The following is a 13,710-nucleotide window of genomic DNA, read 5'->3' as shown; positions in this document are numbered from 1 at the left end:
AGTTGCATACATTTATGGTCTTGCCCCAGGATGACATTAAATTTTCTAGCCTTTGTATATGGGACCACGATCATCAGGACATTCCCTGGGACATTAAATTGGTCCATTATACCCATGAGACTATGTTAATTGGACTGAATGACCAAGAAGTGACACTTGTACTCTGGAGAATGGTAGATAAACCCATCAAAGGCCCACCACATTAGTGACATTTTTAGCAGTCTGGTGGTCTAGGACAAGGATTGGTGAAATCTGTCCCACCACTTGTTTTTGTAAATAAAGTTTTATTGGAATACAGCCATGCACATTTGCTTATATATTGCCTATGACTGTTTTCATGTTATAATGGCAAAGTTAGTAGTTGAAACAAAGACTATTTGGTACACAAAGCCTAAAATTTTTTACCCTTTGACCCTTTATAGGAAAAGTTTGATGAGGGTATTATAGGACATCCCTTCCCAAATAAAGGACACATTATTGCATCTCAAGTTTTCTACCACTAGGAAGAAAGCACAGTGCTTGGTATTCTCTTTGGTTTTGGAAGACTCATATTCCACACATGGTAATACTGCTCCAACACATTTACTGGGTGGCAAGGAAGGCTTCCAACTTTGTGTGGGGCCCAGAGAAGTAAAAGGCACTGGAGTAGGTCCAGACTGGATACAAATATTCCTTCTGCTTGAACCACGTGAATCAGCAAATTCTATGCTATTAGAGATGTCTCTGATTGGGGAAGATGCTGTGTGGGTCCGTGAATGGACAAAAACACACTCACAAGTATTTATTCTCTCAGTCAACAATAACAATCAACATAGAACACTTCTGTGACCAAATGTTTGGGGATTTCTCTCCACCAACAAGCAAGCAATCAATTCTGCAGCAGGCACCCTTTAAGTATCCTCTAATTCCATTCTATTCTTACTCTATCTACCTAGAGATAGCATCAGATCCCACAGGTTAAGGAATTAATGCCCAAGACTGCCACCACCGCCCCACTCCATGCAGCTTTCAGACACCAATCTCAAGCTCCAGGTTGTTTTACCTGTGCTTCTGACCAACTGGCTATAAATCAGGGATCCCACACACACCCCTCCTTGGGTTAGATTAATTTGCTAGAGCAGCTCCTGAAACTCAGGGAAACACCTACTTACATTCAGCAATCTATTATAAAGGATATTACAAAGGGTTCAGATGAAAAGATGCATACGGTTAGGTATGGGGGAAGAGGCACAGAGTTTCCATGCTCCCTCCAACCCCCAGGTGCACCATCCTCTAAGAGCCTCCATAGGTTCAGCTATTTGAAAGCTTTTCGAACCATGCCCTTTTGGGTTTTTATGGAGGCCCCACTACATAGGATTGATTGATTACGTCATTGGCCATTGGTGATCAACTTAACCTTCAGTCCCTTTCTCTTTCCCAGTGGTTGAGAGTGGACTGAAAGTCCAAACCCTCTAATCAAACCTCAGTCTTTCCAGTGACCAGACCTCATCCTGAAGCTACCTAGGGACTGCTTGCCATCAGTCAATTATTAGCATACAAAAAGACATCGTTTTAGAGATTCTAAGGATTTGAGGAGTTGTATGCCAGGAAGTTGGGTGAAGACCAAATATATGTTTTACATATATCTGCCAAGACCCAATGGGAAATTTACAACATAAACTCCCAGGGTTCTGGAGTAAGGCTGTGCTATCGGTAGCAGGGAATCATTCACCATTTGAAAAATAGCTCCTGGTGTGTTACTGGGTTTTAGTAAACACTAAAGTCTGACCATGGAACTTCAACAGATTTTGTGGCCAGAGCTGCTCATCATAAGCTGGTTTCTATCAAACCCACCAAGTATTAGGGTCTGGCAGGCCCAGCAGCAATCCATAGCAATATGGAAATGAGAGAGCCAGGAGTAGGTAGAGGTAGGGCTAGAGGGCACAAGAAAGGCACATGAGCAGGTGGCCCAGATCCCCATGTTACCCACTGCTGTTTCTCCAGTGCCTCTCACACTATGGCCATTAAGGAGAAGGTGGTTCTTATGACAGTGGTGAAGGAAAATCCTCCCAATGAATACAGTTTTAGGAAATACACCAAAGAATCATCTACTTTGTGTGTAATGTGTTTCTAGGTAATAATATATACAAACTTGTGGGCAGTGGCAATTGGCTTGGTTGGTTGGTTAGACACTTGGAATGAGAAAGATTAGGAGATTGGTCAGAGGAAAGGAGCTTGTAAAGGGACCTGTGTGGGTGGACATGAAATGTGAAGATTTTTGCTTTGCATCTTAATGTCCACCGAAGAGCATCAACCATGGATGAGACACTAAACAATCAAGCAGACAGATTGATTTTGCCAGTGGATGTCAGTCGGCCTTTGTCATTGGCAATCCCAGCGCTGGTACAAGGAACTCATGAATAGCCATGGTGGCAGAGGTAGAGGACATACACGGGCCCAAAAGCCAGGGATCTGGCTTTCCATTACTAATATTAACGGTTGCTAACAAATATCCAAACTTCCAGCAGTAGAGACCAATAATGAGGGAGACCTTGATATGGCACCTACTTGGCAGCAAGTTAAACACATTGGGCCCCTTTTACTTTGAAAAGGTTAGTGATTAATCCTGACTAAAATGGATACATATTTTGGATACGGCTTTGTCTTTCCTGCCCGCAGGGTCTCAGTCAGCACCACTATCCAAGGGCTTACAGAATTCCACATAACGTCACTCAGACCAAGGGACAAAGAGACCCTCTTTAAAGTAAAGGCAAGCTGTAAGTGATCATATAGTCCTATCACATACTTTACTATCCCAAAGCTGCTGGCCTGAGAGAGCGATGGAATAATCTCTTAAAGGCACAACTGAGATGTCAGCTTGGAGATAATACCCTGTGATGATGGGTTACTGTCCTCCAGGATGCAGTGCATTCCCTAAATACTTGGCTCTTGTATTGTGTTATGTCCCCAATAGGTAGAACATGTGGATCTGGTAACCAAGATGTAGAAATAAGAATGGTCCCACTTGCTATCACTCCCAGTGATCTACCAAGGAAATCTGTGCTTCCCCTACCCCCTGAACTCTAAGATCTGATTGTGTAGAGGGCCTATTCCTGGGGGATGCTTCTACCATGGAACACAGTGAGAGTGATTTAAACTTAAAGCTATAGGGTTATGCAATCAGCCAACTTGACAATTCTCAAGATAAAACAGCTGTTCCAGCTTACTTCACAGAGAGAACCATAATCAGACCAAAACTTTAGAACATTTATGAAAGGGAAATGACGTTGTAGAATGTGACAGTGCTGTGAGTTTTAATTGAATGGTGGAGGGGGCCAGTGACACATATAACTCAGATCATTGCATTTTTAGAAAATCATAGAAATTGAGTGCTGAAATAAACCTCTAATTGGACATGTTTATTTTAGTAGCAACTGAAGCAAGAGAGGTTAAGACTTGTACAAAGTCTTGTGGATATGTTAACGGGAGATCTGGGACCAGAACCCAGGTCTTCTGACCCCTAGTCCAGGATTCCCTGCATCCACCACTGTGGATGCATAGCTCCACAGTTTTCCTTTTTAACTATGTGTGGATTAGGCCAATGTTAACTTACTTTGCATTCTGTATACACACCATACGGAAGGCTGATTAATAACCTGTAGACATTCTGGTGGCAAGAAGTCACCTTAGTATTAAAAATTCTTAATAGAAATTTGCCCAAATAGACAATTTAGCAGACTAGTGTCAACCTAATTGGCTCAAATTAATGAATGCAGCTCCACTCAGGTTTTTTCAATTTTATTAAAATTTTTTTCTGTTTGTTTATGACCCACATATACCTTCATTTAAATCACAACAGTATCAGGACCTCCCTTTCATTAGTCTCACAAAACCATTTTGAATGTCATTGAACACTCATTTTGGATTGGGGACAGGATCCATTTGGAATTCACCAATGCCTCAAACCAACTTCTCTAAGTCTTTGGGGACCAATAAAAATGTATATGCATTTTGCTTAGCACATTTCCCTTAACTCAACATAACAATTTTTCAGGGAGCTTAAATGATGCAAGTTTTTTGTTTTTTTTTTTTTGTTTTTGTTTTTTTGTTTATGTGGCCTTTTGAAAACAAAGCATCTAGAACCACCCAATATCCATTTTCATCCACCTATAAAAATAATTTTGTTTTTTAGCGGTATTAGGATGCATCCAATCAGCAGTATTTAGGTTCAGCATACATTAATTCTGTGACAGTACTGAGCTTGAAATGGAATGAGATCATAGTAATAAAACTATATTTTAATGCACTTTTAATGTAATACAAACAACTGTACAGTGTACTCTCATTCAGTCCTCCATCACCTTATGAGACTGGTACTATAGAAGAACTGCCGGCTTCTCCAAAGTATCCACCCTCCTGTCCTTGTTTATCTGGATACTTGGCTTCCTGAAATAAAGACTACAGTTCCAACCTCCGCTACAGCTAGGTATCACCAAATGACTAAGTTCTTGTTAAAGGGATGTCAGGGAAAGAGATAAGCACAGTTTCTCATATGAGGTGTCCTTCTTTATCTCTTTTTCTTGGCTGGAATGCAGTTGTGATAGCTGAAGCCCAAGCAGCCACGTTGGACTACATAGGGAACTATGTGTTGAGGATGGTGGAGCCACACAAGAGGAATGAGACCCAATCATTATGTAGCAGCCCTGCCATCCCTGAACTGCTCACCTTCAACTCATATGCATCATAGAGAATTTCTATCTTAAGTCACTGTTGTTTTTATCAACTAAAACTAACCCTGAATGATACACTTGAGCTACATTGTCCTAATTGAGGTGTGCAGTAAGTATGAAATACACACTGGATTTCAAAGGCAAATGAAAAGATTTTATAAAATATATGATCAATAATTTTTGCATTGATTATATATTAAAACTATAATATTTGGATAAATTGGCTTAAAATTATATTATTTAAATTATTTTTTCCTGGGTCACCTTTCCAAATGTGACTACTGGAAAATTTTAATTTATATAAATGGCTCACATTCTGTTTCTTTTGGGCACTGCTAGGCTGGTGCTGCTCCACTCTGTTTCTGCATCTGCACTAGAGAATAGATGAAGTTCCTGAGGCTAAGAGGAGCCATAGGACTTACCCAAGTTCCCATGTCAAGTAAATGTCGGGACTGGATTCAAGCTCAAGTCTATCTGGTGCAACCTCAGTGACTTCACCCACTACCTACTGTGTATCTCAACTGGTGTCGTTGGGTTCAGGTATAGCAGACAGAATACTATCCCAAACACTAATTATTATAGGCAGAAACTGCTGGTGGCTTGGAGTTTTACTGACTTTCACTCAAAATGTGCTTATAATCTGATGAATTCTATAGTATTATTCCCAAATCACATATTCCCCAGCACATAAAAATAGAATGTAATCATTGAAAAAGGCTATGAAACACAATTTGCTGAATGCTTCTGCTGAATGCTTCTGCTGCCTTTGATTCAGAAAGAAGACATTTAATTTGGAAAACTTTGCCACAGATATCCAGTGACAGAGCTGGAGGCCCTCATGGCAAAACTTTCCTTGGTTGCTTTATCTCACTTTGCTGGAAGCTTAAGGCCTCTAACCCCTCTGACCAAAGATGCCCCATGGATGGTGCCTGGGTAATAACATCAAACATTTTGCAGCATATTTCCCTTTATCTGGTTGAGTGAGGCATCCTCTGCAGGTAACGAGTATGTTCAGTATTATTTACACCTTTACTTACCCTTTTCCCACTTCTTTAAAAAAGGTGGTAGTTTGGCTCGTGTACTTGTCCTGTGGAAGAGGGGCACAGTTTCTATTTGGAAATGGCCTGGCATCCCCAGCTTTCTTGATTTCTCCCTGAAGACAGTTGTGGACAGGAACACTCTGACTTAACTGAAGTGCAGGGACATCAACTTGCTTTAGCCACAAGATCCTCCATTATTATGCTCCAGTGCTAGGCTAGACACAATTCTTCCTTGGGGTTCACCACCTCCAAGGGATTCTAAGATGTAAGACAGCCACACTCACCAAATGAACTTGGATGTGATCATTTTAATCTTCTTGCTGTATAGTACTGCCATGACTGGCTAGAAATGGTACCCAGACTCCTTAATTTCCCATGGAGCTACAGCATGAAACTAACGAGCTGTTCATTAATGCATCCATTGCTCGCTCTCTCCTTCCTGTGGCTTCTGTTCCTGGTTTAGAAGCAGAATTAACAAGTTTTCTCCTAAGAGGCATATCTGTCCTGCAGCAGTCAGCTCTTTGAACATTTAACTTCATCTTCCAAATCATTCCAAAAAACACTTAATGGCTCTGGGCCCAGACCTGACCCCTGCAGATCCCATTTACAAGGACTGTCAAAGACAGATGAATCACCACCAGTAAGTCCTTTTTGCATTTGGCTTCCAAATATGGGAGTGGCTGGGCAACTGTGGGTCATTAGACTTTTGCAAATTAAATTCCCCCAAAGATATATTTCACTAATGCAACTGAAGGACAGTGTGTGTCCCTGACTGCAGATGCTAATCTCAGAGGGACAAAAACCTGTATTTGGCCGGTGCGGTGGCTCACGCCTATAATCCCAGCACTTTGGGAGGCCGAGGCAGGTGGATCACGAGGTCAGGAATTCAAGACCAGCCTGGCCAACATGGTAAAACCCTGTCTCTAATAAAAATACAAAAATCAGCCGGGTGTGGTAGCGGGTGCCTGTAATCCCAGCTACTCGGGAGGCTGAGGCAGAGAATTGCTTGAACCCGGGAGGCGGAGGTTACAGTGAGCTGAGATCGTGCCACTGCACTCCAGCCTGGGCAACAGAGGGAGATTCCGTCTCAAACAAACAAACAACAACAAAAACAAACAAACAAAAAAACCACCCTGTATTCACGTAGGATATTTGTTGAGGACAGAAAGAAAAGACTGCTACCAATTGGCCTTTTTTTCCTCATATTCATCAGGCCCACTAGGTATAAAAAATGATGCTCAAATCTGCTGCACATTCTAATGTGATATGCTAGCTTGTTTTCTTTTCAGTTGAATCTATTTGCAATTTTCAATTCCTGAATGAACTCACTGTTTTTCTGTTTTTTGTTTTAGATCGGGTTGGGTGTGTGTTTGGCGGGGGGGTGTCTAAAACTGATGTCTCAATTGCCTTCAGAGGCCCATTAACTTAAGTGTGAAGTTGCTGGTTTTAAGAAATTAGGGAATGGAAGAGTAACAAATTGGAGTTTTCAGCCTCACTAGAAGTGTGTAAATGTGGTTTTTAAAACACACACATACTGCATTGGCCAAAGTAAAACATGTTGGCTTAGATTCCACTGAAAAGTGGCCAGTTTGTGACCTCACCTTTAAATCAATTCATTCAATCTCCTCTGCAGAGTCTGAATCAGAGGTTCAAATGTGGGGGCGGCGGGGAGTAGCAATTACTTTCTTAAATTCCTTCTGATTCTGATATCCTGTCTGCTTCTCTGGTTGAGAATAATCAAATTCAACATTAGCCAATTCTCATATAAACCTTCACCATTATGGGCACATCACAGCCATGAAGTGCTTCCCCTCACAGCACATGTGTCTGCTACTCATTGCAGATCTAGATCACATGAATAGAAATCCAGTGTGATCTGAAAAGAAATCAGACGTTTCTGGTTTTTACAGCTGTCTGGAGACAAAGGCTGCCTACCTGCTGAATTTCAAGTACTTCCAGCCTCTCTTTTTGGCCTATTTTGATCACATTGGTTTTCCCCTAAACAGAGGAAGATGAAATCACCTTGAGCTATTGCCAAGGTGTGCAGGCCTGCCTGTCCTAGGCCTTTATGCTGACTGTAGGAGAGGCAGATTATCTTTAAATTGCTAATTTTGCCTGAAAGCTCTTATCAGAGACTGAGGGATGATTTTATACTTTTCTGTTTGCTTTTCAATTCCCCTCACCCCCAAGTACTCCTAGAGCAGTCCAAATCTGAGGTTTAGTTGACTTAGTTGAACGCGAGTTCAAATCTCAAGAAAAATACCACCAAAGAAACCCTTTTAGTGTCATTTGCTATGAGTGTTTAGTGGTCAGCTGACATCGGTAACAGCAAGTTGTCCCTCAATATCCACTTTCCTTTATCTACAGAATAATGGAACTTTGAGTTTTGATTGGGCTCATGGTTTCCAATAAAAACATGAAATATTTCAAGTAATGTGATTGACTTCCAGTCCACAAGATATGAAAGGAAGTAGTATGAACAACTTCTTGGAAGTATCCTTAAAGGAAGGTCTGTTCCTTTCCCCTTTCTTCTCCCCACTGGTTGGAATTCAAATGATGATGGCAAAGAAGCAGCATCTATTTATGAAATGATTCTGGGAATGGATGTCATGCATGGTGGAAAAAAAACATAGGCGGAAACTGTGTTCCTACCATCATGTAGGGCCACACCACCTCTGGTCCCCCTATCTGGACATTTCCATGAGAGGGAAGTAGGTGTCTATCTAGTTTATTAATTGGTGGGGGTGGGAGAGACAGTTTCCATCACTCACAACCAAACCTATTCCAAACGACTACAGAAGGTATCAGGTGGGTGCACAAAAGTTAGGGCTCAGAAATACCTCATACTATCCCTTTGAGGTAGAGACGGGTCAAACATCATCAGATTTTACAGCAGGACACTCCTTCACAGAGGTTTTCATCAAGATCCTCATTCCATCTTCCTTCTGCTTGATCCAGGAATCCCTTCTTTCCTATCCAGGTCTCCAGCAGCTGCAGTTGTCACCTTTTGTCTCCATCACTCCTCACAACACTTAACTATATATTTTGCCTTTTACTTGCGTTTTCTGTCTTAGGTAGACTGTGGGAACTTGGAGATTTAAAAAAAAGTCTCTTTTGTAACCACTTTTCCCAGTTACAGTGAAAACAAAGCATTACTTAAATTTCAGATACTCCGTACGCTCTATAATTGAATTAATTTGGAATGCATTTTTAAACCCACCTACTATCTATACCACTTCCTGTGTTTTTTTTCACTGTCATCTTCAGACTTTCTGTTCTTTCAAGAAATTATCTCCACAGGGGACTGAATTATGATATTCTCTAAAATAGGAACTCTTAACTTGAGGAGGAGGAAGAGGGAAATTATGAGTCCACCAACTCTCTGCAAGTTTTGTATGTGGAAATGTGAGCTTTTGTCTGCAGAGAAAGTCAATAGCTTTTATTATTAGAATTTCAAAAAAATCATGACCCCCACTGGCCTACAGCAAACAAAAAAATCTTTGGCTAAAATAATACCTAAAATTGGGGATGAGAGAAGAAATGAGATCTACTCGAATGATTCACTTTAAAAAGAAGATAAATCCACACATAGATTTGTATAATTTCTACCTCTAAAGTTTTTTCCCCAAAAAATGCTTAATTTTCTTTCCCTGGTTTCCAGGAGACCTTAATCCTTAATCCCAACTGAAGAAGCAACCAAACAGAAAAGATCAAAGATACACTGGCAATAAACTGAAGCAATGCTTTATTGCAACCACAAAGCACCAATTCAACAAGGCGTTGACACACAGAGATTGAACAAATGTCTCTTTGAACAGAGATGTAGCAAGCCCACTTTTTCCAAGCTCTTAAAAACAAGTACTTAACCCAGGAACCGAACAAAGCATAGGACAATTAAAAAAAATTACACCATCATGAAGGAATATATATAAAAATATTCTGTACTAGTAACAAGGCTTTTTGACCTGTAACTCTCGGCAAATTTCTTCAGAAACAAATTATTATAAATAAAACCATGAAGTTAAAAAAAATTCTTTCTTCAGAAACAAAGAACCAATTTAAAAGAAAATCTATGCAGAAAATATCGTTACCCCATTTGAAAGCTAGCTGAATATGGATGGATATCCTCAGTACACAACGGAGCTTCTCTTTTCAGAGCTATGATTCTGCTCCTGAAGGGGCCATGATGCATGTTCATTTCAAACACTGCAGCATATCCCAATAAAACCTTAATAAGGTCAAGTGGAGAACCCTCTATAAAAAAGGGTGTTGGCAATTCCGTCCAAGTAACACAAGCTCTAAGGAACAGAGGAATTCAAGGGAGACAGCAATCCCTTTCTTCTTTCTCCCCCTCCCCAAATTTTCTTGTTTTTACTCATCCTAAGTCTGTAACCAAAAGACTGTCATTTAATTAAATTCTTTTTTAAAAGATTTTGGGAAAGCTATAAAGAGATGAGGAAAATCCTTATGATTTCAAAGCCTTTGTGGGGAGGAGTGTCTAATCGTGTCAAAGATCATCTATTTGACAAAATCCATGAGGAAAACCACCCTGTGCGCATCTTGTCCTTGCTCCTCCTGGCTGATTTCAGGTGAGCTGATGAATTGCCTAGTCTATCCAATAGGATAACGTTTCATTTGATTGAAATTCTTTACATATACACATGTATGTATTCTGTTTACAAAGTTTCATTACATGAAACTAAATTATGTCATTATGTATTTTTTGAGGTCGAAGACCCCAATTTGACTGTACTATGAAGAGTTGTTCTTTAAATGCTTTGTCTGCAGAGGTTTTACATGATATTCGTAGATTTTCAGAGCAGGCCCCAATTTTAACTGAAGTCCTGTCAACACATCATTTCTTGTCATCAATAGCAGGGATTTTCCATCAATTTCCTATAATGGAAGCAGAAGGTAAAGCCAACATGTGAGTCCAAAAGCTCAAGGATAATGAAGACAAAAGGAAGTTCAGAGGTAAAAGTCACACCACTTGTGCCCAAGCTAAAAACATTACATTTGTAGTAGTGCCAAAATGGAAAAAATGCAATCCTCTATTTTTATCTTACAGCTTTTAGCTATACTTTGGCATTAAACACAATCTATAGCTGATCTTGCTTTCAAGATCCTATCACAAACATCACATCTTAAAAAACAGATCGCAAGCTTACTGCATGTACCCTTAAGGATCAAAGATGCTGCTTCTGAAAAGAATAATGACACTTTCCATTTATAAAGTCTATTAAAGTTTATGCAGAATTTTCCATGAACTTAATTTCTAAAACAACTCTGTAAATTAGAACAGGCAGAGATGATCATTTCTATTTTACAGGCAAGCGAAGGATCAAGCAAGAAGTTCACCCTCTAAGATCAAGAAGTTAGGAAAGGGGTGCATAGAATTTGAACTCTCATATACCTGCAGCCAAAGCCAATGTTCTTTTTATAATCCCCCTCTGCTTCTCCTGATACTTAAATATATGTTTTTTAGATGGTCCGATGGGGACTAGAGTCTTAGGTTTCCTGGAGTCCTCACAATTGCAACATTGGGCATTAGAAAAATGACTCAACCTCTGGGAGACTTTCCTGCCCTTTAAAGGGGGAACCATCCTGCCTCAACCCAAAAATCAACCTCTCCAAGATAAGTTCCCCTACCACACTCCCTCTCAATGGATCCTCAAACTTCCAAATAAGGTAGTGAGGGGTAGGGCCCTGCCAGCTGAAAATCCCTTCCCTGTTCTGCTCAGAGTCCATTCCCTGCACCCTTAGGCACAGAGTCAGGTACACTGCACTCCAGGTATTCTGGAGAGACTACAAAGCTTTGGGGTGAAATAAAAACAGGCTTCTCACAAAAGAGATGGGGATCCCAAATATACAAAGTGGTTTGAAACTTTTGGAAAGGAAGCACTGAGAAGAATGCTGAATGCCACATTATTTTTGTTATTGTTTGCTATGGGGACCTTACGTCTCTTAAGAACCTGAGCTGGTTCCTAGGTGACTTGGATTCAAGAGTTAAACCAGCTGTGCATGGTCGGTGAGTCACGACATTTCTGTGCATGGTTATAACCACATACTTCTGTACCTACCTCCTCCACTGACCGACAGACATGGGGACACCGTGTGTAGCTGCAACTACGTAAAACGGACTCCCTCCCACACCATCCCCAGGGCGGCTCCTCCAACTCTCATGTGCCTTGCTTGCCAGGCTGGGAAGGAAATGTGCTTTGAGTTCCTGAGAGTGTGGGAGAATTAGCAGCAGGCTAGGCGGCTGAAGAAACACCCACTTTGTGACCTTAGGCAAGTCCCTTCTCTTCTCTTTCCTCCTTGGCGGGGTTTCTGACAAGATTCTGTGAGAAACCGCTCTTGCAAATGCTCCCTGAGCTATGAGTTATACAATCACTTGTCATTATCCCTTCCATCATTCTCGACAGGACCAGGTCCTCATTTTACTTGTCAACCACCTAATATGAACCAGAGCAGAACAAGGAATTACTTCTACCTGGTCTATGGTGGTTTTGAGTTTGGGAAATCTTTATTCTGTCAGCTACCAGAACACAAAATGTCTCATATTAATTTGTGAGAGACTATAACATTAAAAAGCAGCTGATTCATAGTACAAAGAGCAGAAAATTCCTTAAGGACACAGGAATTGACTCAATAATCCTAAAGTACTTTGCTTCTTATTTAGGCAAGTAGTAATCCTAGAGATTGCTGATTAGTGAAACCTGCATGTCTGAGAGTTGGGAGAGGAGCCTCTGGCCCCTGGAAACCACAGTAGCCGTGCTGAAGACACTGTGAGGTCAGAGACCAAATTAGATGTAACCTTAAAGCTCACGCTGTGTCTTGCACACAGGCTCGGAATGTTTTACTGAACGGTAAAGCCCTCCTACCCTCCATCTTTCCTCGGCTGTTGTGTGCTCACACTTCACTTACTACATGTTTTAAACAGGCATCAGGAAGAGATGACACTGCTTTCATTTCTATACACCAAGAAAACTTCCTCGACTAACTCAAAGTGAATTTTTAAAAAATCTTTGCTGGCAAAAAGTCCTTTGACAACTCAGCATTTCTGTCAAAAGCCAAGTATGCCTGTGAAAAATGCTGAAATTTGGATTTTACTTAAGACAAAATGGAAAAATCATGTTTCATGCTCCAATCTGATTTTCCCTTTGTTCAGTAGACACACTGCAGTTCACCTCAGACCAGGGTTGGTAAAAGAAAGCTCCATCTGGAAATCCTCATTTTAGAAATGTTGAAATAAATATAGTTAATTCATACATACAACCAAACATTCCTCTTAAACCCTGACTAGAGCAGCTCAAAGGAATGACAGTGGAATAGAGAATAATGGAAATGAAGCTTACAGTCAGGCAAACCGCAATCTGAATCCTGTCTCCCCAAACTGCTATGTGACCCTGGGTAGGGGACTTAACTGCCCTGAGTCTCAATTTCCTCACCTTAAGATGGAAATAAACCAGTAAAGGACTTTAGGGATTAGAAATGCTGGATGCAAAGCACCGCACACAGTGCCTGACATGTAGGAGGTTCTCAATGACTACTAAGTGGAAATGGATAGGCTTCGAAAGAAATGGGATGTGTTCTGATTCCAAATCCACCTTCTGCTTCCTTTCTGCCAGTGTGCTCCCCTTTGCCAGGAAGATGTAGGCATGTTCCTATTTAGGCTCAGAAAATTTACTGAGATTAAAGAGTTCAAAGACTACATAAAACATTCGTTTCATAAAAATTGTACACACAGGAAAGTTCCTTGATTAAGAAAGCTAATAATTTGATACATAACGTCCATGGGATGCAAGTGAAATCCAAATTCTACCAACAGCATGCTGTGCTACAATGAGCTTGGGACTGGAAACTGGAAGACAGGTTCTTGCAGACTCTATCAGTAACTTTCCGTAAGGAACAACTCCTCTGGATCCCAGTCTGTGTATTAATATAAATGAAGTGATTGG

The 13,710-nt window shown here is 40.7% G+C and overlaps 1 protein-coding gene across 4 annotated transcripts in view; it reads right to left on the bottom strand.

The window, feature by feature from the left end:
• Positions 1 to 9,477: 9,477 nt before the first annotated feature.
• SAMD13 (sterile alpha motif domain containing 13) overlaps positions 9,478 to 13,710 on the bottom strand; it is a 52,261-nt gene continuing 48,028 nt past the window's right edge. For all 4 annotated transcript variants that reach the window (XM_017000377.3, NM_001010971.3, NM_001134663.2 and 1 more), the window contains exon 4: positions 9,478 to 10,645. In XM_017000377.3, the coding sequence (XP_016855866.1) occupies positions 10,502 to 10,645 (144 nt within the window). In that variant the 3' untranslated portion in view covers positions 9,478 to 10,501. The remainder of the gene's footprint in view (positions 10,646 to 13,710) is intronic.

The sequence above is a fragment of the Homo sapiens genome, chromosome 1, assembly GCF_000001405.40.
Source record: "Homo sapiens chromosome 1, GRCh38.p14 Primary Assembly".
NCBI lineage: Eukaryota > Metazoa > Chordata > Mammalia > Primates > Hominidae > Homo > Homo sapiens.
This window is presented reverse-complemented; position numbering and strand designations above follow the sequence as displayed.